Genomic DNA, 26045 nt, shown 5'->3' on the forward strand with positions numbered 1-26045 from the left:
GTCTCAGCCTCCCAACATGCTGGGATTACAGGCATGAGCCACCATGCCTGGCCCAAACCCTCATTTGGAACATAGACATAACCCTGGGGACAGTGGACAGAAAACTCCATAGCTGAGATTAAGTTTCTTTAATCTTGCAAAATGGGGCCTCCAAATAGAAATTAACTTTGTGTTACCAAAGAATGAAGTTGCATTCCTCATACACATGAATCTGTAGATGGACATTTTGTACCAGCTGCATATACCTAACAAAGCTCTATTAGTAGGAAAAAATACACTTACACTGGTGTTTTTGAACTTTCTGTGCTGTTGCCTGCTATCATTTTAGCGATATTCTTTCGAGTAATATTTTTAAGAGGAAAAGAAAGCTTATCTGTTGCTATTTCCGATTTTGCACCCAGACTTAAGTTTCTGTGAAGAAAAAAAAAAAGCTTAATGTCAGTGATTATTCAGAAGTCTGGAAAAGAGATTTACAACATATTTAACTCTTAATTTGATTAATGTCACCACGTTTTCATTGGGTCCACAACGGTCAATCCTGACCCTTTCAGTCTACTTCACCTCAATGCTCAGCTTCTTAGACAATCGAGTTAATAGAACCCAAGGAGGCCACAAACACTTTTAAAACAGAGTTGAAGGTGAGAAAAAGGAGGAACCTGCTGACCAAAAGAGAACCCATCTTGATGTTTTAATACGAGGTTCTAAAATATTCTTATATCAACCCAATGATGTTAGTCTCCACGGCAATAAACAAACTCCATGTGTTAAAAAGAATATTCAGTCAGAAATTGAATTTTAATTGTTCTGTTTTTTTGTTGTTTTTGTTGTTGTTGTTGTTTTTAGTAGCTCTTTAAAGAAAAGGCTAGAAAGTAAATTTTTGGTAATTTGTACAGAATTGGATATAAGGAATTTGGGACACTTAAAAGGAGAAAATGGGATTGAAGGAGTTCTTTACATTCTGAACAGCCCCACTTTGTATTTTTTTTAACTGTTTCCTTGTAAATTTTAGATGCCAGAAAGCATTCTTCTGTACCTGTCATGCTTCTTTTTTAATTCTAACTAACAAGTCACTCTCATGGACCCAAATGAACCTACTGCTTGTGTGCCCAAATAAGCTTGCTTAGGGTTCTAAGTCTCAAAACTGTGATGAAAGAGCTAAGTTAATCAACTAGTGTATTATGTTGAGGTTCCCAAAACTGCATCACTAAACTGTTGGGCTTTGGATGCAGTATTTGGATGTGAGAACTTCTGCTGAGATATGCTCTTTCTACCAACACAAGGAAAAACAAAGCAGGGGCCACGTGCTGGCCACTGGCTCAGGCTGGGCAGAGAGGACTCTCAGGAAGTCTCTCTCTTCGGAGACAGTCAAGCTGCCCTCGCATCTCACACGTTGGAAGGGGGTCAGGTAGGGCTTCCCCAGTATTGGTGGAATGCAAGTGATAATATGGGCCTCCAGAGGCTGCAATTTCTTTTTTTTTTTTTTTTTTTGAGACGAAATCTTGCTGTCACTCAGGCTGGAGTGCAGTGGCGTGATCTCAGCTCACTGCAACCTCTGCCTCCCTAGTTCAAGTGATTCTCCTGCCTCAGCCTCCTGAGTAGCTGGGATTACAGGCATGCGCTACTACCTCCCAGCTGATTTTTGTATTTTTAGTAAAGACAGAGTTTCGCCATGTTGGCCAGGCTGGTCTCAAACTCCTGGCCTCAAGTGATCTGCCCACCTCAGTCTCCCAAAGTGCCAGGATTACAGGTGTGAGCCACCACAATCGGCCTGAAATTTCTTTATCATTTAGACCAAACTTCAGCCTTTGGTGAAAGTTGTAAAATTCCCCCAGACTGTTTCATTTTGTAAATCATCACCTTGCCTCTCTTCTCTCTACCCTCTCTTTCTTGCTCACAGAACTCACTGTCAGCCTCTCTTTAAAAACAACTTATTATCTAGAATAACCCAACTTTAAAATATATAATTTATTTGGATTTCAGTTTTTAAGGAGCAGGATATTGATTTTTTTGGAGATTTATAGTTACATTCAAAATTTTTTTTGCATTGAAACAATTTTAGATTTTCTAAAAACCAGTATTAATTTAAATCAACTTTCAAATCACTTGATGCTCTGCCTTCATTTCTAGTGTTTATGTGAAAGCACGTGGCCAGTTCTTGCTGCATCAGAGCTAGGAACGGCCTTTCTCTCTCAGGTGGGCATAATTCACTTCCTTTTCCATGGAAGATTATGGACAGTGAAATCTAAGATGCATGAGGAAAACCTAAGTGGAGAGGCTCCCTGTGGTAGATTTATAATAGTGCTGTAAGTGATGCATGAGGGAGGTGTTCACAGTAATACTATTTTGCATTATAGTAAGAAACATTTGAAATTTAAGTGTTGTTTCACCAATTGTACATTAAGCTAATAAAATACAGTGGATTTTGGAATGCAAAAATAAAAAACAGCAACAACAACAAAAACCCCAAAACCAGAAAACTAAAGTTAGCTAAAAACTACAAAAAAGGAAAACTGAGAAGTTCTTAGTCTGGTTAGTGATTCCTAGGCAAGTCATTATTTAATACATAAAAATGTTAGCTTTGGCATTGAAGGTAAGTTCCCAAGGCTATAATGATAAAGTAAGATCCACATCAATCTAAAGTTCCCATTCTTCCATCCCACCACACCCTCCCTCCCCCAACTCCATGTTTAGACTGGGGAAAGGGATAAATTATACATGGAAATACAGTAACTACCTCTGAATACTCCATGAAAAAACAACAGAGAAGCTACTATTGGGGTCCAGGAGTTCGTGTATCATTTTCTGCTTACTGGGTGGGCTGATGGTCCACAAAGAATTTGAGTTTCCTTCCAGTTCTGCTACTGTTATGTCTTCTTTTTCATAATTTTCCAGAAATTGCATAGCACCCTGTATGTGCACAAATGCACATGCATAAATAGATTATATGCATCATGCTGTATAAAGAAAGCAGTCACTCTTCCTTTTAACTGGCAGTATGGAAAAGGTTTCTCCCTTTGAAGGGAATATTTTTATAATGGATGGTCTTGAGTGTTCCATTGCACTAATTTGGCTTCCTTACCCACAGGTATGGGCAGTTTCCAGTTACATTATCCAATCCCAGCAGTTGCTACCATCAATACAGCTATGGAATCATTCCAGTTAAACAATAAAGGAAAAACAGATAATTTAGTGTCATTTTTCCTTTCCACTAAAAAGGAAATTTATCACCTATGGGGGAACGTCTCTGTCATGAGAGAGACAAAACAATCTGCTCAGGACATCCCAACCCTCTCTGAAGAACTGCTCATTGTTCCAGATTAGTTTTGACAGTGTGCATTATAGGTGATAATTTTACAGAAGAAAGAAGCATCTCCTTCCTATTCACTCTCTTAAATAAAAAAAAATTATTTATAAGACAAATTTTAATGATGAGGATTATGTTATATTATTAACAGTGTGGAATATAGACAAGAGAATAACATCAGCCACCCTTCTGCTACCAGAACATAATTGTTGTTTTAAGTTTTAGGGGATGTATTTCTTATTTTTTGTAATTTTAAAAATAATAGCCTTTTTAAAATTTATGTTTTAGTTTGAGAAATTGTCATGTCATTTATAGTCTCTGTAATGAATTTTTTAATTACAAAATAAGTTGCTTAGAAAATCTTTGGACAACATGGCACGTAAATAAAATGAAAAGTAGAAGCTCCTTCTCCTATTATGACCACTCTAGAGTATCTTGCCAATCAAATTCATGTAATACATCTGCCTTAATTTCCTCAACCAGCTCCTGTTTGCTGAACCGCAAATTGCCTCTAGTTCTGCTAATGCAGAGAATGCACTCATAAGCCAGTGCCTAGATAGAGCGTTCTCATATTTTGAATTACTTCTTAGGACAGATTCCCAGAGTAGGCCTACTAGTCAAGAGATGAATATATACCACAATTTAAAAAGTTAAACAATTTTTAAAATGGATCAATATTTAAATGTTTATTACCACTAATGTCCAACAACATAGACATAACTTCTTAGATTATCAAAGTAGCCAGTGGCCAGGAATGTGCTCTATGTAACTGATAAACCCTGAAAAGTCCTCCTTCCCACCACCTCAGGCCATGGCAAAGCATTAAATGACAATGAGTGAACTTCCCTAGATGAGAGGTCTTCACAGAAATCTACTATAGGGATTTACTTACGGTGTCCCTAGAAAAAGCTTGTATAAATTTGTTAAAGCTCTGCTGGTCCATAACTTTCAACTGGCTTTGTTGGGCACTCATTGTGAAAATAGGCTGGAAAACAAAGAGAACAGTGTTGTCAATATTCCCCAGCTCTTCTCTGCATCCTGAGTCAAAAGAAAAACATTTATGTAGGATATCAGCCCATTTATGTAGGCTATGTTTATCCCATGATACATGGCATCCGAGATCTCTTTTTGGAGTGATTATTCCCGTGCTCAAGACCAAAGGGAAACTAGTCTCTCAGTGTCTTCTGCACCTTATTCATACATCAAGTATTTGCTGAGCAGTCAAATGCCGACAGCAGGGTCGGCAGCCCATGACTAAACACCCTACAGACAGCTATCATAAAGGAATGTGGCGTGGGGCAAGGCTCTGGTAGGTGGGGTGTGCACAGAGATCACCTGATACCCTCCCAGGGTAATTGTGACGGAGACGTCCAGGGGCTGGTTGATGACCCCAGCCACAGATTTGATCAAAGACATGAAGAGAAGAGGAAACCAGACAATGCAGATGAGCAGGACGATGATCATTCCTCCCATGCCATACTTCACCACTTTCTTCTTCTTCTGGCCCCGTGGCTGAGGGTATCTCTGCAACAGAGAGTTCAGACAAGGCTCAGGCTCAGGCTCAGGTGCTTTCCCGCAGGCAGCGGGATTGGGGGAGAGCGAGTGCTCTTCCTGTGGTGCTGGGAACATGGATTTGGCCCTGAATCTTCTCTGTTCGCTCTGAAATGGGGATAGCAACCTTGTCCCAATCTCGAAATGAAGTTAGGTAGTGATGTGAAGCTGTCCTGAGGTCGCTCCAGTACCCCCTGGTGGATCCACAGGGGCCAACAGGACTTAAGCGGCCTTCTCCCTTCAAGACTGTGGGTGGGTTTTCCTGGTGATGAACTCCTGGACCAAGGGATCAAGTATCCGGCCGAATGAACCTTCTGGTTTTAAGGGATTATGTGAGAGAAAGATACTTTACTTTCAATTCCTGAATATTTAAAATCTGTGCCTTTCAGTTGACCCTTCCCTGCCCTTGGAGGGTGAAAAAACATGATTTTTAATTTAATTCATGACACGTGTTGTTAAAGACAATGTTGTTCGACACCTAAGGTAAGATTTGTATGATTAGAAGAGCCCCCTCTGGGCACTGGCTGTAGGGAGTGGGGAGAGGGCAGGTGCGTGTTGCAGGGGCTCACTCTCCTACAGGAGCCTGTGCACCAGTAAGGCTGGGAGCACTTCTGTTTGCTTTAATATAGATTCATGAAGGACCCACTAAGCCCCCTGCTTAAAGACTATGGACAAGTGGAAATTGGAGCTGTGCTGTCTGGCATTGAACCTGCTTCTGATCTACATGTGTGTTCTTTCTTCAGTGTTGCTGCTCCATGACCTCCATCCTTTCAGGGTTACCCCTCAGGCCAAGCTACATGCAGAACATGGGGTCAACCCCACTCCCCGACTTGGCAATGTGATTTATCTTCAGGAGGGATCCATTCATTTCAGCAGATTAAAGTAAGGAAAAATAATCTAACATTTACCCATAGGCACTAGCCATAGATTACACACCAGGAGAGAGACCTGGGAGTCAGTACAGGACATGACTACAGTGGCTTTTACAAGCCTGGACACTAAGTGCCAAAGATGGTGCCGGAAATATGAGAATGGAGGCTTGACTGGGTGGTGGGCCAGGGCCAGTGCGTAGTGCACTCTGCATTCAGTGTGCATAAGGCAATGCACCCTATGGATCTGCACTATGGAGACTGCATGAAGTTCAGATGGTAGCAGTGCATTTTGATATTTTTGCACTGGCATTTGATACTGTTGACTATTTTCAACAGCATCAAATATGGATAGCAGTAGCAGTGTATTTTGATTTTCTTCCCGATTTTCTATATTGAAAGGAAGACTAGGGTCCCATATTTTAAAATCTGAAATATATATTCACAAATATATATACACACATACATGCTTCCACACATAGATATGCAAACAAGTGTATAGATTTGCTCTTTCATTATTTTCTCAGTGAGGCAAATTTAGATCATAGGCCACTCCTGTCACTCCAACAGCACCCACACTGGATCATGAAAGTTTTGCAAGTTAAAGAAGATTAATGTATCTCTGCCAAGGGCGGTTTTAGTCTGTTCCACCTGAAGTGGGACCACATTGGTTCCTCTCCTGAAGGCCAGTCTCTTTGAGGTTCATCTCAAAAATTCCCAGAGGCTTCTCCCTCCTTCTGCTCAGCCCTCACACTGCCTTTCCAGGGGACAACAGGGGAAAGGCCTCTTAATCCATCTCAAATTACGCAGCCAATTTTCCCCTCCTCTCGAAATTTTCTCCCTTCCTTCCTTCCTCCTACCCTCCCTCCCTCCCTTCCTTCCTTCCTTTTTCCTTCCTTCCTTCCTTCTTTCTCTCTCTCTTTCTTTCTTTCTTTCTCTCTCTCTCTTTCTTTCTCTGTCTTTCCTCTTTTTTTTTTTTTTTTTTTTTTTTTTTTGAGACGGAGTCTTGCTCTGTCGCCCAGGCTGGAGTGCAGTGGCGCGATCTTGGCTCACTGCAAGCTCCACCTCCTGGGTTCACGCCATTCTCCTGCCTCAGCCTCCCAAGTAGCTGGGACTACAGGTGCCCGCCACCATGCCTGGCTAATTTTTTGTATTTTTAGTAGAGACAGGGTTTCACCATGTTAGCCAGGGTGGTCTCAATCTCCTGGCCTCGTGATCTGCCCGCCTCGGCCTCCCAAAGTGCTGGGATTACAAGCGTGAACCACTGCGCCCGGCCTGTTTTTTTTTTTTTTTTTCTTGATGGAGTCTTGCTGTCGCCCAGGCTGGGGTGCGGTGGTGCAGTCTCAGCTCACTGCAACTTCCACCACCTGGGCTCGAGAGATTCTCATGCCTCAGCCTCTCAAGTAGCTGGGACTACAGGCACACATCACCACACCCGACTAATTTTTTATATTTTTAGTAGTGACAGGGTTTCACCATGTTGGCCAAGCTGGTCTTGAACTCCTGACTTCAAGTGATCCACCTGCCTTGGCCTCCCAAAGTGCTGGGATTACAAGCGTGAGCCACCACATTCAGCCTCCCCTCCCTTTTCAAAGGCATTGTCCCCTTCCTGTCCTGCGCTGCTCCGTTACCCCTTTCCTAGGCCATTCAACTCTTTCTTTTTTATTTTTTGAGATAGTGTCTTGCTCTGCTGCCCTGAGATAGTCTCTTGCTCTGCTACCCAGACCAGAGTGCGGTGTCGTGATCATGGCTCATGGCAGCCGCTGGTAACTCAGCTCCTCACTGTGCTTCCTGCTTGGTGTTCCTGTTGCACTGCATTTCCAATCAGCTTCCTGAAATGTTCTGGAAAGTGGTGCATGGAAGTCATGGTATAAGCAGAATAAGAGTGAGTGGCCTGCACTGTGTGTGCTCGGACCAACATTTTGCCTTTCAGGTTATTGCTCTTGCTTCATAAAGTGTGTTTGTAAAGCCCCTGCAGCCTGTCACATTCAATGTGGAATCACACCCAGGAAGAGTTACTGTTAAGAGCAGCTTATTATTCCACTTCATTCCAGACAGGGGATCAATAATAGTAACTTTTCAGACTAGTACTAACCAGGGCCAGATTCATTCAGACTCCCCAATATCACCTCCCACTTACCTAAATGTCTCAGGAAGTTTTGCCATGGATGATTTCAAAGGCTAATATCCTGAAGTAGCCATTGGTTTAGCATAGGATGGAAGTATATACTTAAGTAGCTGTGATATATTAAAATGAGGCTTCTTATTTCTTTAAAATAAAAAGGTAATTTAAGTCTTTGTTGGCATGCATGCCTCGAGTTATAGGCCAGAACGAGCCTTCCCTCATTGGGAGGCGGGGTGGTGGCTGCAACCACCTCATGACAGTGTGAAAAATGTCACCTGGTGGCTCCAAGGCAGTGAGCTGAAGAACAGAGCAGCTGCCGCTTCTTCCAACAAACACGGTCTTGCATCCGTGCAGATGGTCACACTGGGTGGGATCATTCAGGGGCTTTTGTGATTTGGAAACCCCCTTCCTAAGCACCGTGACCTGTTCGCCCAAGTGAAACGGCGTCTCACTGTCAGTTTCCCGAGCCTTCTGGCAGCTCTTGTACCTAAAGGGCCTTGTCTTCCCATGCTCTCAGCAGAGGAGCTCCCCCATCTTATGGAGAACGCAGGCTGCGGGCACGAGATTGCGCCTTACTGGCCTCTCCTCCTCCTGCCCTTTCTGCAGGATGGTGATGGCTCTTTGCCACAACTGACTCGCTCACTTGTGCCTCTGACTCTACAATCTCCAGACCCCCATCAGAACTTCCTGATATTAGAATTTTTACTATTTTCTTCTGGCTTTTCCTTATCGTCTCCAGAGAGGTCCAAACACTCCCCATTTTGAAATTATCCTCTGGGCTTGCTTCTCTTTTGAACTAATTATCTCTCTGTGCCCTTGTTGGGCTTGATCCCTCCAAGACGCTGCCTCCAGTGAGCTCCTAAGTCCCTGCAGTTGGGTGTCAGCACCCATCCTACCTTTGAAACTCATTGTGCAAAGATCACTAGCAATCTAGCGAATATAAGATTCAACATCTATTCTCAGTATTCACGTATCCCAAACTCTACATATTTGGCTTCTTGAATTTCTCTTCTCTCTCTGGGTCTAAAAATGTGGAAGGAATGAATAGATGAGGATAGAAGAGTAGGATAGAAGGTAAACCAGGAAAGAACCAGTAGCTTAAGCTCCAGAGAGTCAGAGACAAGAGAGGATGGGTGGATCTATTTCAGGTAGCCAGGACAGCATAGGGAGGCACTGAGATATGTGCGTTTGTAAATAGGCAACTCTTTTTAGTTGTTGCTCAACAAACATTTACTGTGTGTCTAGGCTCAGGGTATTAAGTGATTCCTAGGCCATATATGGATGAACAGACACTGAGCTTGCCATCACAGAGCTCATAATAGACAGAAAAAGAGACAACAAGCCCCAATGTGGGAAGTATTAAGGGTTGTTGGGGCCCACAGTGAAAGATGGGGTCTAGACTTGAGGGGTTAGGGCAGGTCCATGGAAACAGAGGTGTCTTCATTGGTATCTGGAGGTTGGGAAGGAGTTAGGCAATGAGGAGGTGGAGAGGATGTTTCAGACAGTGCAAAGATGTGTCAAGGCCTTATCTAGCAAATAAAGATATGATCTTTATTCAATGGATGGCAAAAGATCCACTGAATAACTCCCTGTAACAGTGGAGGAGAGGAGACAAGCGTCAGGGCAAAGGACCTAGGAACCAAGATAAAAATGTAGATGCTTTCCCTGTACCCAGTCAACTTACACTCTTCCATTAGCTCTCTGTTTCAGACCTACGCCCTACCTTCCTGAGGCTCTCAAAGTATCACGTGCCCCTCTGCCAAAGCATCTGTCATATATATTGAATTTATTTGTGTCACCATTTTATTTTTCTTCACCTTTTATTTTGAGTTCAGGGGTACATGTGCAGGATGTGCAGGTTTGTTACATAGTTAAAAGTGTGCCATGGTGGTTTGTTGCACAGATCATCCCATCACCTAGGTATTAAGCCCAGTGTCCATTAGCCATTCTTCCAGATGCTCTTCCTCCTCACTCCCCGCAACCCATGACAGGCCCGCCCCAGTGTGTGTTGTTCCACCCCATGTGTCCATGTGTTCTCATCATTCAGCTTGTGTCACCATTTTATTAACACCTGTTTCTGTCCACTGAGCCATCAGTTCCGTGATGGTGAGGCATTGTATGTTTGGGTCACCACTCTACTCTCATGCTTAGTAGAGTTCTGGGCACATAAGAATGTGCTTAGTCTTAGTCAATGTTTATAGTAGGCTGCAAAAATAAAGGCTTCAAATTCATCTCAATCCTGTAGGCATGACCCTTTGCAACATGACTTTGCCAACCCTATCATTTACTCCATACTTTGGATCTAGGCTGGCCTTTAAACTTGCTCCAAGTAGAAGAATGTGGTAGAAGCACTGGTGGTGGAACTCTGAGCCTAGACCTCACAGGGCTTTGCAGGTTTCCCTCTCGTTCTCTTGGAATGTGCTGCCACGAGGGGAAGAAGCCTGGGCTTGTCTCCCTAAGGATGAGCGAATACATGGAGAGAGAGGCCTGGCTAAGAGCCAGATGCAACCTGCAGGTGTCTGAGTGACACCATCGAATAACACCCAGTTGGGCCACCAGACGATAGCAGCCACAGGACTGACTCCAGGCAAGACTATCCAGTGGAGCCCAGCCCACACTGCTGACCTACATAATTGTGAGCAAATAAAATGATTGTTTATTTTATTTTACTTTATTTTATTTGATTTTATTTTACTTTAAGTTCCAGGATACATGTGCAGAATGTGTAGGTTTGTTACATAGGTATACATGTGCCGTGGTGGTTTGCTGCACCTATCAATGCATCATCTAGGTTTTAAGCCCCCCATGCGTTAGGTATTTGTCCTAATACTATCCCTCCCCTTGCCCCCTACCCCCTGACAGGCCCTGGTGTGTGATGTTCCCCTCCCTGTGTCCATGTGTTCTCATTGTTCGGCTCCCGCTTATGAGTGAGAACATGCGGTGTTTGGTCTTCTGTAGCTGTGTTAGTTTGCTGAGAATGATGGCTTCCACCTTCATCCATGTATCTGCAAACGACACGATCTCCTTCTTTTTTATGGCTGCATAGTATTCCATGGTGTGTATGTGCCACAATTAAAGAGTTGATTTTTAAACCACTGTATTTGGAGGTAGTTTGTTAGCAGCAACAGACAACTGATATATCTGTCGAATGAGTGATTCCAGGGTCTGAAGTAGACTTAGGGCAGAGGTTTCATAAGTCCCCTGTGTGTGATCCTTTGCATGTACTTTGGGGTAGCTTTGGTTGTTAGAAATTCTTCATATTCCATTGAAACATACGGGAGCTTTTGCCTACCTGTCTTAATTCTGTTTTTCTTAAGTCTCACAAATTAATTTCAATTTCTCATCTCTTTCCAACATTTCAAATTGTTAAAAACATCTACTTTTTCTGCACAGATACCCCTATTTTTTTTCTACTTTAGACCAAACAATCCCTAGTTCTTCCTACTTTTCCTTGTGTGTCAGGATTTCCAGACGCTTTGGCACCCTAGTTGCTACCCTCAATGTTCCTTCGATAGAGAGGCTCTCATATTCTGGCATCCTGTCAACTCCTCTGCTCCTTAGAAATCAGGACAAGCAAATATGATTTTAAGTATATTGCCAGCCCCATCTCCCTCACTTCACAAACCCATAAACAGAGAGCACAGTACAACAGGCCCCATGACTGTAACGCTGAAATTCCCAGGGAAAGCTGCAGAACACACCAGGAATCATACAGAGGAGCCTTTTTCAAGGAGGGTATTTTGAGACGAGAAAGAAAGACATTTCATATCACCCCAGCTAATGTTTTTTGGGTATTCCTATTGCTCTTATGCAACAGACTCTTCTTCCATATATTAAACTTCTGAGAAGTGCAATAAATAATAGTAATCTAGACATATTTAAACCTTAATATTCAGCCTGGCAGAATAAGCAGATATTTGCACTTCAATTTTCTTTGCACAAAGAGGTTAAATTGTCCATCCCTCTTCAAAAAGTGAGTCAGAAGTAAGCATGAGTCCAAGCCACCACCAGCCCCACTTTTCTCTATAACATCACATTCCTTTCTGCTCCCAAAGGAGCCATTTAAGAGTTGTTGGGATATAGCAAGCAATATACCGTTTTTTAAAAATAACTACAATATGAAGTTGCCGAAAGAAGAAAACATCTGGATGCTATTGACGACTATGACGGCAGTAAGTCTAAATTCCCAACTCTAGTGGGTTGGAAATCACTGGGACATTTATAGGTTGTGGTAGTTTTTGCCTCATGCCTTCATTGTGAGCAGAAGTTCACATTCATCTTATAACCAGCCTGTATCTAAGAGAAGCAGACAGGAATAAGGCACATCTCCTGGCTTCTTACCTTCTCCGACTCCCGCCAACACTTCAGGATGAATATGTGAGCATAGATGTCCTCCACACAGATCCAGCTGGACAGGCTCAAAGTTGTGTCCGTCCACACCCAGTCCATCACTGCCCTCAGCTCAGTCAAAAAGGGCACGAGGCGAAACCTGGCAGGAAACACATCTCGTCAGAGAGACATTCGTGGGTGGCCCCCACCACCCTGCTCACCCAGGAGCTCAAGCAGTTCCTTAACTGCTTTAACCTCATGACTCAGAAACAATTCTCTAGGTGACCCTTCCAGTAAAACCCAACTTGGAACACAACTGCTTTTCATTATAAGTCGAATCTATGGATTTGTATTTTTTCATTCTTTTCCTTTTCTCTGATGATCATAACCAACTGGGATCTCCCTTTTAAATAAGTGTGAAGGTGTGAAGGTGACTCAGCTTCTTTCACATTTATTTGTTCATGTTACGAGACCCTTGGCCATGCGGTGCTGAATGACTGCGGCTCTGTTGCTGGATGAGTTAGTAGGGGTGGTGCACCTGGTAGGTTAAAAATGAGGGCAAATGGATAAAGGCAGAGGGAGAAGGAGAGGTTGTAGGGAGCCAGGGTGTGAGGCCCCTCAGCCGCAGGACTTGCTGGAGTACCACAGTGATGGTGTTGGCTCAGCCTCTGTGGTTCAGTTGTGTTTCAGAAGGGATTGGCCTGGGCTCCTCCAGGCTCTGAAGAATTTTCCTTGTCTCTTGACTGACACAGAGCTTCTCCCAGCCTGGAGAATCTGGGTTCTCCCAGGGCCCTCACAGCAGTGTGGATTGCCACTCAGAAATTCTCCCCTAGGATGCCTCAGCCCTGTCAAGTGAATATAAATCCAATCCCTGGAAGCAACATCAGGCCCAGTCACAGGCTAGCACTGTATGAAACACGACCCCACACACAGCGCTTCACAGCATCTGAAGGCACTCGACACCTCTTCTGTCTGGTGCTGAGGAGGAGCCAGCAGTGCCACGGACTGTCTCACTTTTTATGCCGTGGTTTAATTTGCGAGAGAACAGAGAGGAGATGCTACTGCTGAACTTGTCACATAGAAGAGCACATGTGCTTTGAGTAGTTAACTTGCTACGTGGGCACACAGGTGATGGCATTCAGGTTGGTGTTAGGCAGAAAGAATGCTCCTTTTCAATGGAGGAACTTACTGTATACAAAAAATTCTAAGGATAATTTGGAATTCCCAAGTTATTTGGAATAGTCCAGGCTCCACATGCTGTGTTCTTTTGTGCCCAGAAGTATATAAATACTTACAGATCATGTATCCCTATTTTTCATTCTCAAATATTATCACAGTAATTATGCAGGATACTAACCCACGTGGATGAATGTAGAACAGCACCTGGACAGGCTTGTGGCAATTAAACATAGAAAGGTGTTTAAAGAGGCATATTTGTTCCTTTGCCAACATCGTAAGAGTTCCACAACGATTCCCACTGCTGAATTCATCCTCTCCCCCTTACTTCCCAGTTGGGAATCAAAATGCCTTTCCACCGCTATTCTTCCCCCATAAGTGACTGTGACGTTGCAGAGCGTCCTACCCTTGGAATAAGAAGAGGTTGACGTAATTGTAGCTCTTGGTGAGGAAGTTCCCCAGGACTCGCGTTGGGTAGCCACAACGGATCTGGTAAGCAGACAACCCGAAGTAAACACATTTCACAAAGTACCAAAGCTGGGCAACCAGGTTCTGGCTGAATTTCCTAAAATGTAAAAGTACAGAAAGTGAAGCAATGAAATACTCTTCTGAAACAAAAGGATGGCAGTGTCAAATTAAAACAACAGGCCAACAGAATTTCCCCTTCATCATTCCAACTCAATTCTAATGAACTGTCTACACATAGTGGATCACTTCAAAGGCAAAAGGTGGGATAAAAAAATTCAATAATTAAAATGATTTCCTGTGAATGGTGCCTCCAATCTGTCTTATACTGTTGTTTAGGCCATAATTAAAATAAATTATTAAGTGAATTTACTGATAAATATTTTCTCACTATGTAGATGATGCAGCTACCATAGTCCAAATTAGACTCCTGAAAGAAAAAGCCTATATACATTATATATATGATATATTAAAAATATATATAAACACACACACACACATATATATATATATATATAGAGAGAGAGAGAGAGGATCCATTTGGAATATGTAGGAGAAAGAATTCTGATAGGTGGACTCTCAATTTCTTTTTACTATTCATTATAAAAATAAGTAATGGATTAACAAACTCTGGAAACACCTGGATTTGGTTCCAGTTCTGTCTATATGTTATGGGGTTTGTTTCCCAAGCCATCATTTCTCAAGACATCAGTGTCTTTATTTGATAATTCTTCCTAGTTCTGCAAATCTATAACTCCATGACCTGATGTTTATTTATTTTTAATGATTTCCTCAACAGTACAGATGGTAGTCTTCTCTCCAGGTGAATAGTGAAGAGACATAGTATTGTACAGTTCAGGACTGCTAGCACAAGTTTGAAAAAAAATAGTAGAATTAAATTTCACACTAGAAAAACATTTTAGAATATAATTTCAAAGAATGATGAGCTATAGGACCACTTTAAACTTTGGATAAATGCAGCATTCTCCAAATGTCTTAAACATGGTCAGTACAGATTTTAAAAAGGAAATAAAAAGAAAACTTTTGACTTGGTAAGAGTTTGGTATAATCTTCTCTGTCCTTAAAATTAAGATCCATACTTGAATGTTTTGATACAAGCACCATATTTCTCTCTGTGCCATATTTTGGATTTGTCCCCTGCCTCCCTCCCTCCCTTTCTTCCTTCCCTCCCTCCCTCCCTTCTTTCTTTCTCTCTCTCTCACCCCTTCCTTCCTTCTTGCTTCCTTCTTTCCTTCCTTCTCTTTCTGTCTCTCTCTTGCCCACACCCCCGTGGAGATATCTAATGGTTCCAGCACCATTTGCATTTGTTGAAAAGACTGTTCTGTCTTCACTGGATGGCCTTTGCACCTTCCCTACATCAGCTGAATTGGGACTGTGGGTCTTCTATTTCTGGACTCTCTGTTCTGTTCCATTGTTCTGTTCGTCTGAATCTTGAGGCTACACCTCACTGCTTGATCATCACAGCTTTATAATAATGCTTGAGGGCAGGAAGAATAAGTGCTCCAATACTGTTCTTTTTCAAAGTTCTTTTAGTTCTTCTAGATCTTTTGCAATTCCATATGAATTTTTGTCAGCTTACCAAATTCTACCACAAAATCTTGCTGGGAATTTTGATGTGCACCGTGGTCAATCTATAGATCAATTTGGGGAGAAACTGCATCTCCCCCAAATTCATGAGAAATTCACAAGTATTTTGATGCATGAATTTAAGTCTTCTTGATTTATTTAGGCCTTCTTTAATTTCTCTCAGCCATGCCTTTTATATTTTCATTGTACAAGTCTTGTACATGTTTTATCATATTTATCCCTAAATATGATAGTTTTTCATATTTTTAATGGCATTGTAAATGATATTCTTAAAAATTCAAATTATTGAGCATTTATTACTTGCATATAAAAATACAATTGAGTTTTGTATGCTGGTTTTGTATCTGCAAGCTTCCAAAGTTCATTTATAACTTCTGACAGCCTTATTGTAGATTCCACCGGATTTTCTATATAGGCTGTCATATCTGCCGCATGGTTTTGCTTCTTGCTTTCCAATCTGGATTTTGTGTGTGTGTGTGTGTGTGTGTGTGTGTGTGATGGAGTCTCACTCTTTGTCACCCAGGCTGGAGTGCAGCAGCGCAATCTCAGCTCACTGCAACTTCTGCCTCCAGGGTTCAAGCGATTCTCCTGCCTCAGCCTCCTGAGTAGCTGGGACTATAGGCGCGCGACACCACATAAGGCATTTTTTTTTTTTAAGACGGGGTTTCACCATATTGGCCAGGCTGGTCTGGTATCTAACTCCTGACCTTGTGATCCACCTGGCCCAGCCTCCCATAGTGCTGGGATTACAGGCATGAGCCACCATGCCCAACCCAATCCGGATGTCTTTTATTTTTACTTATTTTGCTGGCCTGGGATTAGGATCTAGTATCACCATTCACTGGCTGAATGACTTTGGGGAGATCACTTTTCTTTCTGGGTTGTATCTATCTTAATCTGCAAAATTAGGTAATAGGCTTGGAAAGCGTTTTAAGGTGTCTTTCTTCTCTGAAATTAAGAGTTTCTGTGAAGGTTGGTTTTGTACTGAAAAATGTATTTTATGTATTCTATTTTAAATACCTACAAACAATATTCACAACACTCTCATGAAAAAATTATAATATTTGTACAAGCAGTGGCGTTCATCTGAATTATTATTATAGCCTGGGCTATATTTAATCTCCCAATATATGGTGTGGAATGGAGAACTGGGTTATTGTGTCTCTTCTGGGTAACAATCCTTTATTTAGTTCTACTGTAGACTCAGGAAAAAGTATCCCAATTCTACTTTCCTTTAAAAATATCTGCATTGTCACCATTTATTATTATAAAGCAATAATTTTATAATTAGAATTTATTTTTAATAATAATTTTTATAATTATTATAAAGCAATAATTCCTATACTGAAATCGAACGGTCAGAACCTAAACACTCAAACAAAAGCAGCCATTAGGCTCTGGCTACTGTTAGAAGCAATTTGGATTTTCTCAATAGGAATTACACTTGAACTGGTTTACTTATGAGCCACATACGTAAAATCCATTTTTTTTATTACTTTCTATTCATTCTTCCCAAATGATATTAGCCTGCCTGTTTGATATGTTATTCATAAGACTTGGCTACAAATGACTCAGAGGTGTGATCAAAAGATCAAATTTTCTGTTAAGCATGAAGATTTTCAGAGATACCTGAGGATGTTTAAAATAGTACATCATTGACCGGGCACAGTGGCTCATGCCTGCAATCCTAGCACTTTGGGAGGCCCAGGCAGGAGGACTGCTTGAGTCCAGGCCTCTGAGACCAGCCTGGGTAACATAATGAGACCTCATCTCTACAAAAAATAAAAATAAAAAATAGTCAGGAGCGGTGATGTGCACCTGTATCCCCAGCTGCTCTGGAGGCTGAGGCGGGAGGATTGTTTGAGCCCAGGAGTTCAAGGTTGCAGTGAGCTATGATCATGCCACTGCACTCTAGCCTGGGTGATGGAGTGAGATTTTGTCCCTAAAAACAATAAATAAATAAATAAATTTTTTAAAAAACTAGCATGTCACAGTCTGGGAGTGCAGTTCCAGAGGAGGCTTTCAGAGCCACAGCAGATGATGGCAGCTTCACTGGATTAGGTATGTGGCTCCCCAGGCCAGTGACGAAGAGTTATAGTTTGCTTGTGTACATAAAATCAGATATGCTTATTAAAAATTCCTATTCCTACTACATCATATGGACAAGGCCACATTCACCTTCTGCAGAGCCTTTTCTTTCATAACCTGACAAAGCAGATATTTCCCATTTATAAAACTCCACTTTGTTTTTCTTTGCCGAAATGACCAGATCATTTGTTCATCCATGAGCACCAACTGTCATAAACACTGTTTTGCCTGGAGGCGTGAGGTGGGAGACAGTCTATAGAGAAGTGTTATCTGAACAGAGATCTCGAGAGTAAGGAGGAAGTAGACTTTGGGTTGGAGGCTGGGGAGAAGAAGGCTGGGAGGGAGCAGAGCTTGGAGATGCCAGGCACACTGGGGAACTGAAGGTCAACACCCTTTCCTTAGGGTTCTAGGTGACAGAGGGAAGCACAGCAGCCACTTTGAAGGATCTTACCAGCCCTTTCCTGACAGCTTCTGGCCACCCTGACCAGCAGCACTAGTTGTATTAACAGCAGCAGAGTCCAGCAGGATGGGTCTGCGTGCTTCTCTTACCACAAGCTGAGACATTGCTAGGTGCTTTCAAACCTCGCTGCAGTTAACCCCCACCAGTCTCCTATGTGGAGACTCTATCATCTGCTCCCCAACCCTCTCCCTCTATCTCTTCTTCTATCCATTAAGCATCCTCCATTTGTTCATCTATTTCTCTCATGACTTAGTCTGTGCCTTCTCTCCCTCTCAAAAATGCCCCCAAGACCATATTCCACTTTACCTCCACCTCTGCTAAGGTGTAGAGAGAAACACAGCACAAATACCCTAGGTTTGTTCAGGTTATTAAGGCTGTCACCGTTGTTATTTATAGAAACCTTATTTCTACAAATGTAGATAATATGTAATTAAAATATTTTTGAGGAATCAGTTCACACTTTGGATTTGCGTTGACTATTGACCCAAACCTTTAGCTCTTCCTACCCGTGGTGCTGCTGTGCCAAGGCTCTGCCTGTGGCCAGCAGTTCTGCTGTGCAATGCATGCGAGTATCACCTCAGGAAACACAGTTGCATGGAGGCAGGTTGGTGCCTCTGGCTTCTGAAGACCTTACCTCTCAGTCACACCAGGTAAGATGAAGAACATCCAGAAGTGAATTCCGAACACAAGAATGACCTGGAAGATGACCTTTCCCAGTACAGTCTTCCTGAGGTAGAGGGCTCGGTCCACCACCATGGTTCCAAACTGAATGAGGACCATCACCAAAAACGGCCCCGGGACCTGGTCCTCTGACAGTGAAGAGGTGATGTCTGCAGCTGCTGAGTGTTTCTGGGGAAGAGACAACAAATTCATGCCCAAGAGAGGCAATTCATGGCAGGAAGCGCCATCGCCATGGGTCAGGGCGGGTGCTGTGGCCTTTGCCCCAACCTACCCCAAAGGCCCAAAAGCCGAAGACAATGATGATGAAGTCCACAGTGTCAGCCAGGAACATGAGTACATACACGTCAGTCACGGCGCTATACTCCGGGTGGATGAGGTTGTAAAAGAACTGTTTGATGGGCACATAGATCTCCAGCGTCCTGCAAAATGGAGACCCCCACCCCCAACCCACTTGTTTCAGGAAGGGCAGGATGGCAGAAATGACCAGACACTGCCATCATGCCACTCCTCTGCATTCCTCTTTCCAGTCAGGTCCCACCTTCCTCTCTCTGCCTCAGGATAGTCCCGCTGTGGACAGCTCCTGTTCTAACGGAGAGCGTATACACATTTACTGCCAAGATAGGTACTGCAGCCCTCTCTGCTGATGGCACCACAGCCCTCTCCTCTTGCTTGAAGCATAATAGAATGGTATGATGCCCTGGGAACGAGGTGTTGGGTTTGTAGCCTGATTCAATTGCTCACCACCGGCGAGAACCATGAGCATGCTATGTAACCTCTGTGTTTAGTTTTCTCATCTGTAAAACTGGAGTGATGAGAAGACCTGATGCCTAGGGCCAAGGTGGGAAGTAAATGAGGGAATGCATGAGGGCGCTCAGACTTGGAGTGCTTGGTCCATGCGCGTTTGAATGTGCAACGCCCCTGCTCCTCCTGTTTTAGGGCCTGTGTCCATGCTGGCTCCCACATACTCCCCTGGCCTTTTATCTATGCTTTGCTCTGTGCCTTAGTGTGGTGTCCTGTTGGCTCTTGCTTGTCTGTCTAACCTTTGCCCTATCTTTGCTCTGGGACCTGCCTTCAGTTCAACGCCACGTTCAGGTGCCACTGGCTCTCCTGCTCTCAGAGCCTCTGTCCAGGGCTCCACTCCCAGCTGGCAGTCCCAGTCCCATGCACCACTTCCATCCCCAGCAGGTGGAGGGACCTGTGTAGTGTGCTGGGTAACAGGTGTATGACCATGGACAAAGCATTTCCCCACCATGCACTTCCATCCCCTTCTCAGGATAAGAGTGCAGGTCTAAGGCCCTTCCAGCATTGACACTGTATTCCTCTCAGTCTGGCTGGACTTCACCATGATAATGCCTAAGAATACAATCCATGAGCCCTTGAAATGACCCATTTACTCTGTTCAAATAGAAAAAGCATGTGCATAAATGCAATGGATATAAAATGAATCACACTTACAGAAAAATGATTTTTAAAAACAAGACAAAAAGGGGTAATTTCATTCTGCCTTACGCAGATAACATTTGTGACACGAGAAGTTACTTCTCTGCTCTGCTCCTGGTTTATAGGAAATAATAAAGCCCAAAACCCTACAATAAAGCACACATGCCATATGTTCTCATGGACTCACTTCTTTATGGTAAAGGCTTTTGCTTTGATTAAATGTTCTTGAAGCTTTTCCATATAAAGTTCCCTTTTGCCTTTTTGCTTAATACTCAAAACACTGCTTCCTTTTTGACTGCTGTTTCGGGTGCTTGTGCTGCCTAGAAATAAAAAGAGATCATAAGATGGGTGGTGGAGCCTGGGGTTTGTTCACCTAAATATCCAAGAAGCAGAACCCAGAGCCCACATGGTGGAGGGATAGCTCAGGACTGTTTGGGAGGATGAGTATGCACGGCCTTGGGATTTGTCCTCAACTCTGCTCCCATCGCAGGCCTGTGGGGTTTAACACCCCATGGTGGCTCTTTCCTGGATTGCTATGCAATCTTTGTTTCAGAAGTAAATAAACTGGAAGGATAGTTTTTATTGTGCTAACTAGGGTACTAGGATGCAGGTGTTCCAGATAGGATGCCCCATGTCTGTTTTCCTATTCTAGTTTCTCTAATTGTAAAATGAATATGACATAATCTGCCAGTATCTGCCTCAAAAGCAGGTTCTGAAGATGACTATACACCACTGCATGGAAAGCTTCAGACAGGAGCCCCGTAAGTACAAAAGCTTCAGACAGGAGCCCCATAATTATAAAAGCTTCAGACAGGAGCCCCATAATTACAAAAGCTTCAGACAGGAGCCCCACAGATACAAAAGCCTAGTGATTCCAAGAGGGGCAGCTGTGAGGCATATCTACTTTCTGATTGTACTCGTTGTTTGGGAAAAAATTAATTACTAGACTAGGAAATAACCATAGTTTGGCTAAAAGTTCTCATCAATTACATCTAAATATGTTTAAAAAATACATTGTGATTGATAGCACTCTGGACACGCCCTGCAGATTTTTCGCATGTAACACAAATAAATTATCATGAGCCTGGCGTTTATTAGGTACAAGGCAGTGTGCCGGCCATTTTTCACAATTATCTGAAACCCTTGTCCTGAGATACAATAAGGTGTTTTGGGTAATGGGGTCACACAGCTGAGGCAGGATTTGAACTCGGGTTTCTCTGATTTCAAAGCCCTTTCTTTTCACATAACAATGTCTGTCTCTTGATAGCACCCAATACACTCCCTTGCCCCAGACCCACAGGCACCAGAAAAACAAGGCCACCTGGGAGCTAACTACAGCCTAGATATATTGTGTCGACAGATACCTCTTTGGGATCTGTTTGAAGAAAAGCTGGATCTCTGGGATGGCTCGGAGCTGCTGCCGGAGCGCTTCCTCCGGACAGCTGTCTGCTGCTCCGGGAAGGTCACATGCACTGACTCCACAGACGCGGCCAGGTTGATGGACTTGAGAGAATCGGAGGAGTCCCTCCTGCCATGACCGAGGGAGAGCTCATCATCTGATTCCTCCCTGGCCATGCCACTTTCAGTCATGTCATCTTCATCCCATAAGCCATGGCACTGAGAAAGCAGGGACAGGGACAAATGAGGCTACTGTTTCAGGTGGAACCCTTGGTATTCTGTCTTACAAAATCTCATCCAACAAACTGTCCTTCAAGATTAGAAAAGCAAGATGATATGGTTTGGCTGTGTCCCCATATCTCATCTTGAATTCCCACATGTTGTGGGAGAGACCCGGTGGGACGTAATTGAGTCATGGCGGCAGGTCTTTCCCATGCTGTTCTCGTGGTAGTGAATAAGTCTCATGAGATCCGATGGTTATAAAAAGGGGAGTTTCCCTGAACAAAGCACTCCTCTCTTTGCCTGCCACCATCCAAGTAAGATGTGACTTGCTCCTGCTCCCCTTCTGCCATGATTGTGAGGCCTCCCCAGCCGTGTGGAACTGGGGAGTCCATTAAAACTCTTTCTTTCGTAAATTGCCCAGTCTCAGGTATGTCTTTATCAGCAGCATGAAAACGGACTAATACACAAGAAAAGAAAGCTTGTCTAGAGCTTTATGAGGGTCCCAGTAGGGAAGAGATGGGTGGGTATAGATAATAAGATTTTAGCTGATAATTAAGATGGAGACAGATAGCTTTTGGCAGATGGACTAAGGAAGAAATTACAGTGACTTGACTTATTGGATGGAAAGTCACCCTGATGACCTTGCTGCTGTTGGACGGAGCTCTCCCCTGAGCTCTTTGGCCACGCATTTGCTTCCTAAGACATTGCCTGGTCTTCTCTCTGACTCGTACATGGAGGACAAGAGCTCCAGGCCAATTTGTCAGAAATCAGTTGGTCAAAACCAACTCCGAGAATGATCAATCCACCAGTCACTCATTTGACAGATGACTCTTAAATGTTTATTTGTAAATGTGTTATTCTTAAACATATTCAATGAATGTATTCTTATAAACATAACAAACATTTTAGCTTTTCGTAATGGGATTTTTCAGTTTATATGGATTTCTTTCCTATTATTTTAAGAGTTGTTTCCTCTTTGGCCAACCTTCATATATTTAGATTATTTCACAACTTTCTCAGTAGTATATTTACTTGTTTGCCAATTCTTCTAATTATTTATCAAATATACAGCAATTTGTATGAAATAGGATGGTTTCAAGCACTTTTGAAATTTCTGCAGTTTTAATTGTTTGGTTTTCATGGCAACATTATATGAAAGATTTATTTTTTCAAAAGCTATGGGGTAGCTTGTCTTCTTAAGAAAAGATTTATCATTCTAAAAACTATTTTTATATATTTAATTAAAATTTTTAACATAATGCCATTACCTCAAATCTCATATACATTCATATATTTGAAATTTTCAAAAAAAGAATAAGATCAATATGAAACACCAAGATTTTATTATATGTTTTAAATATAAAATTGCAGCAGTTAAGCCATTTGAACATTGATGAAAAGATAGTAAAAGTGCCTAAAGAGTTATAATAATTTTAAATGATACAAAAGAATGTAAAGGTTGCAAGAGAATTCTGAAGTGATCAAAATTATACCATCAAGTATTAAATACTGAAATTTAAAAAGTGAATTTCTAAGACTAAAAAACAAGGTTAATACATTTATTAATATGTTCATAACAAAAATCAGTATACTAAATAAATTCAAGTAATTAACATATCCAACAGAAGAACTGTAAGATTTAGGCAAATTCAATTTTTGCTAACTGATTTCCTTAGATACATAGCTTTCAAAAACCTGCCACAACCCAATGACCCAGCTAAGGCTCCCTCCAAATGGAGGGTTTGGGTACTTTGCAAAGTGATGGAAGCTAGAGTGAGGAGGCTGACCAGAGTACACTCAGATGAAACCGAGTTTGAAATAGCTCACTGAGCTAGGGCAGAAGAAGTTAAACACACTGTTACATATCTATGTGTGCATGTATGTATATGTACGTGTATGTATTAACTTATGCCAAGCCTGGTTCTAAAAAGGATTCTAGGGACTAAGAAAGATACTCCTGGATAAAAGGAATTTAAAATATTTTATATAAGAAGACAAGGTTAAGACGAGGGAAAGAAAGTAAGGTTGTAACAAGAGGTATATTCATACATAAAATCTATGCTATGCAATAATTTCTATTTATTAGAATTAAATGGCGTATTTACAAGTTTAGTTTATAATTCACAGCATGTGAGAAGGAAAAACCCATGAAGTTGCTCAGAAGGACAGGAGTCCCTGAGGCTGAGGCAGGGCCATGCTGTATAAAGGCCTTCCTCCAGCAGGATCATGAGTGGCCTCCTCCACAATAAGCAGGAGAAAGCACAGCTCTGGGTTTTACTGGGCAACTTTAAAGAATATGTGGTTTCTCACCAACAGCTAGTGGTTTCATGACAAGAAGCTACCCAATGAAAGCAGTACTACTAGAAGAAGGGAGGCAGAAGCTGGGATGGAGATGAGACAATATGATCCACACACATTGTGGCTGTCTGATGCTCTGGCTTAAATCAGAAGCAGAATTTAGTGTATCCGGCCTTAGAATATTGCACATCATTCAAGCAATGTTCCACAAAAGTGGATTCACGATTACACATTTAACCTAGGTTGGAAACATGGGGAAACATTCTCCCAGATTTATTGTAAGTTCCATTATTTAGCACCACAAGTGTTGGAAAAAATGTCAGCTAAATGAACTTAACCTTTTTCTTTTCTCTCTCTTTTTTTTTTTAAAAAAAACATATGAGTAGATACCACTCACTGGCCCCTCAGCCCCATCACCAATCCTGATGTCCAGGTTATCTAGGAAGATTACGGTCCAGGTTATCTAGGAAGATGACCAACTTGAACTGATTAATTGTTAACATGCAGTACCTTCAAAATTGATCGATGAAAGAACAGAGCCAGGAGCTGGATGAGGTCATAGAGAACATAACCTTCCTTCTTTTCCACTCCTATGATGTTTGGGGGGTGATACGGTTTATCTTTGTTCACCTCCACATTCTTATTCCAGGGAAAGAACCCAAATTGGAAGAAATACTTGACTACAATTGCCACCTACGCACAGATGACAGAAATTTTAAAACATTACTCCTTTTAGGAATAGATATACCTGTATATGGGAAAGAGCAATATAACAATTAAGAAAGAGACCCGCATTTCACAGTTTTGATGGTAGGCAGGCACATAATTATGTGGAATAGTAACATTATCATTCTCGCAGACTATTGACTTCATAACAGAAGCAGCATCTAACCGTCACAGTGTCTTTCACTGTAGATCCAGCAAGGCCAGTCAGACTTCTCAGGGCACCGCTTTGATTAGTCATTTCCTCTTTTTTGAGGTGTTGGCATTATACTTATTTAATTAGATATTGATATAATTACGCAGCTATTAAATATATTATTTAGGGAAACATGAACAGAACATACTCGTATCTTTCTAGTTTCTGTATTTCTTTAATTCGCAATCTATAGGAGCATATCACACGGTTAGGATGTATGTAGTTTTCACTTTCCTCCATCATATCTGTGTGCCACATTAGTCTGGGAGCCACTAAAAAACAGAAATGAATATTTGCTTTCTATTCATCTTTGTATTCTGGTGCGTAGCAGGGTTCTTGGTTTCTGACACGGGGTTTGTATGATAGAGTAAATCAACATCAAGAATTTCCCACTTACTTCAGTCCTCAGTGCAATGTGACAAGAAAAGGGAGAGCCTCAACTTAACTTATATAGAAATATTTTATTTATTTTTTTAGAGATGAGGTCTCAACCTCTTGCTCACGGTGGAGTGCAGTGGCACAATCACAGCTCACTGCAACCTCAAACTCCTGGGTGCAATCCTCCCACCTCTGCCTCCCAAGTAGCTTGGACTACAGGTGTAAGCCACCATGCCTGGCTAATGTTTTTTATTTTTTTGTAGAAATGGGGTCGTGCTATGTTGCCCAGGCTTGTCTTGAACTCCTGACCTCAAGTGATCCTCCTGCCTTGGCCTCTTAAAGTGCTGGGACTATAGCCAGAAATATTTTATTTTTAAGGTGAAATCTATACAAGAAGCTCTTGTTCCCTTTTCCACATTCTTGGTATTTCCTCTTACTTCAGCCCTAGGTAAGAAAGGGAATTTGATAAATGTACTCACATTGTTATAGACTGGCACCCATTCCCTAAACAGGCAGTCATTTACATCTTGAAGTGATGTAATGAAAGTAAAGTTTAGGGATGATTAACTTGGATTGGCCAATTCAAGCAATAGATATATATTTGACTTCACATCCTTTATTTTCCTTATGGAAATAAGATGCATGCTATCAATACTTTCAACCAAATACTTTTGAGATGCTTTACTGTATAGCTTTGTTTTAATTTTGCTACTGAATTACTTACAACCTACAAA

The 26045-nt window shown here is 42.1% G+C and overlaps 1 protein-coding gene across 11 annotated transcripts in view, besides 1 other annotated feature; it reads right to left on the reverse strand.

Annotated features, from left to right (window-relative positions):
- PIEZO2 (piezo type mechanosensitive ion channel component 2) overlaps window positions 1-26045 on the reverse strand; it is a 479323-nt gene that overhangs the window by 7218 nt on the left and 446060 nt on the right. For 7 of the 11 annotated variants that reach the window (XM_047437735.1, XM_017025918.3, NM_022068.4 and 4 more), the window contains 11 exons: window positions 24525-24707; window positions 21461-21713; window positions 20284-20416; window positions 18928-19075; window positions 18610-18824; window positions 13761-13919; window positions 12191-12338; window positions 4640-4828; window positions 4197-4289; window positions 2735-2907; window positions 283-411 (listed from right to left, as the gene is read on the reverse strand). In XM_047437735.1, the coding sequence (XP_047293691.1) occupies window positions 283-411; window positions 2735-2907; window positions 4197-4289; window positions 4640-4828; window positions 12191-12338; window positions 13761-13919; window positions 18610-18824; window positions 18928-19075; window positions 20284-20416; window positions 21461-21713; window positions 24525-24707 (1823 nt within the window). Of the gene's footprint in view, window positions 1-282; window positions 412-2734; window positions 2908-4196; window positions 4290-4639; window positions 4829-12190; window positions 12339-13760; window positions 13920-18609; window positions 18825-18927; window positions 19076-20283; window positions 20417-21460; window positions 21714-24524; window positions 24708-25088; window positions 25206-26045 lie in introns of those variants that run through there. The other 4 variants (XM_047437736.1, XM_011525726.4, XM_047437737.1 and 1 more) reach the window with 3 other exon arrangements.
- Window positions 8303-8372: an enhancer, noted in NCBI's record as "active region_13084". NCBI's record gives its function as "activates an Ori minimal core promoter by ATAC-STARR-seq in GM12878 lymphoblastoid cells {active_cell/tissue: GM12878}" and the evidence as "EXISTENCE:reporter gene assay evidence [ECO:0000049][PMID:35858748]".

This window comes from Homo sapiens, chromosome 18 (assembly GCF_000001405.40).
Source record: "Homo sapiens chromosome 18, GRCh38.p14 Primary Assembly".
In the NCBI taxonomy this organism is placed as follows: domain Eukaryota; kingdom Metazoa; phylum Chordata; class Mammalia; order Primates; family Hominidae; genus Homo; species Homo sapiens.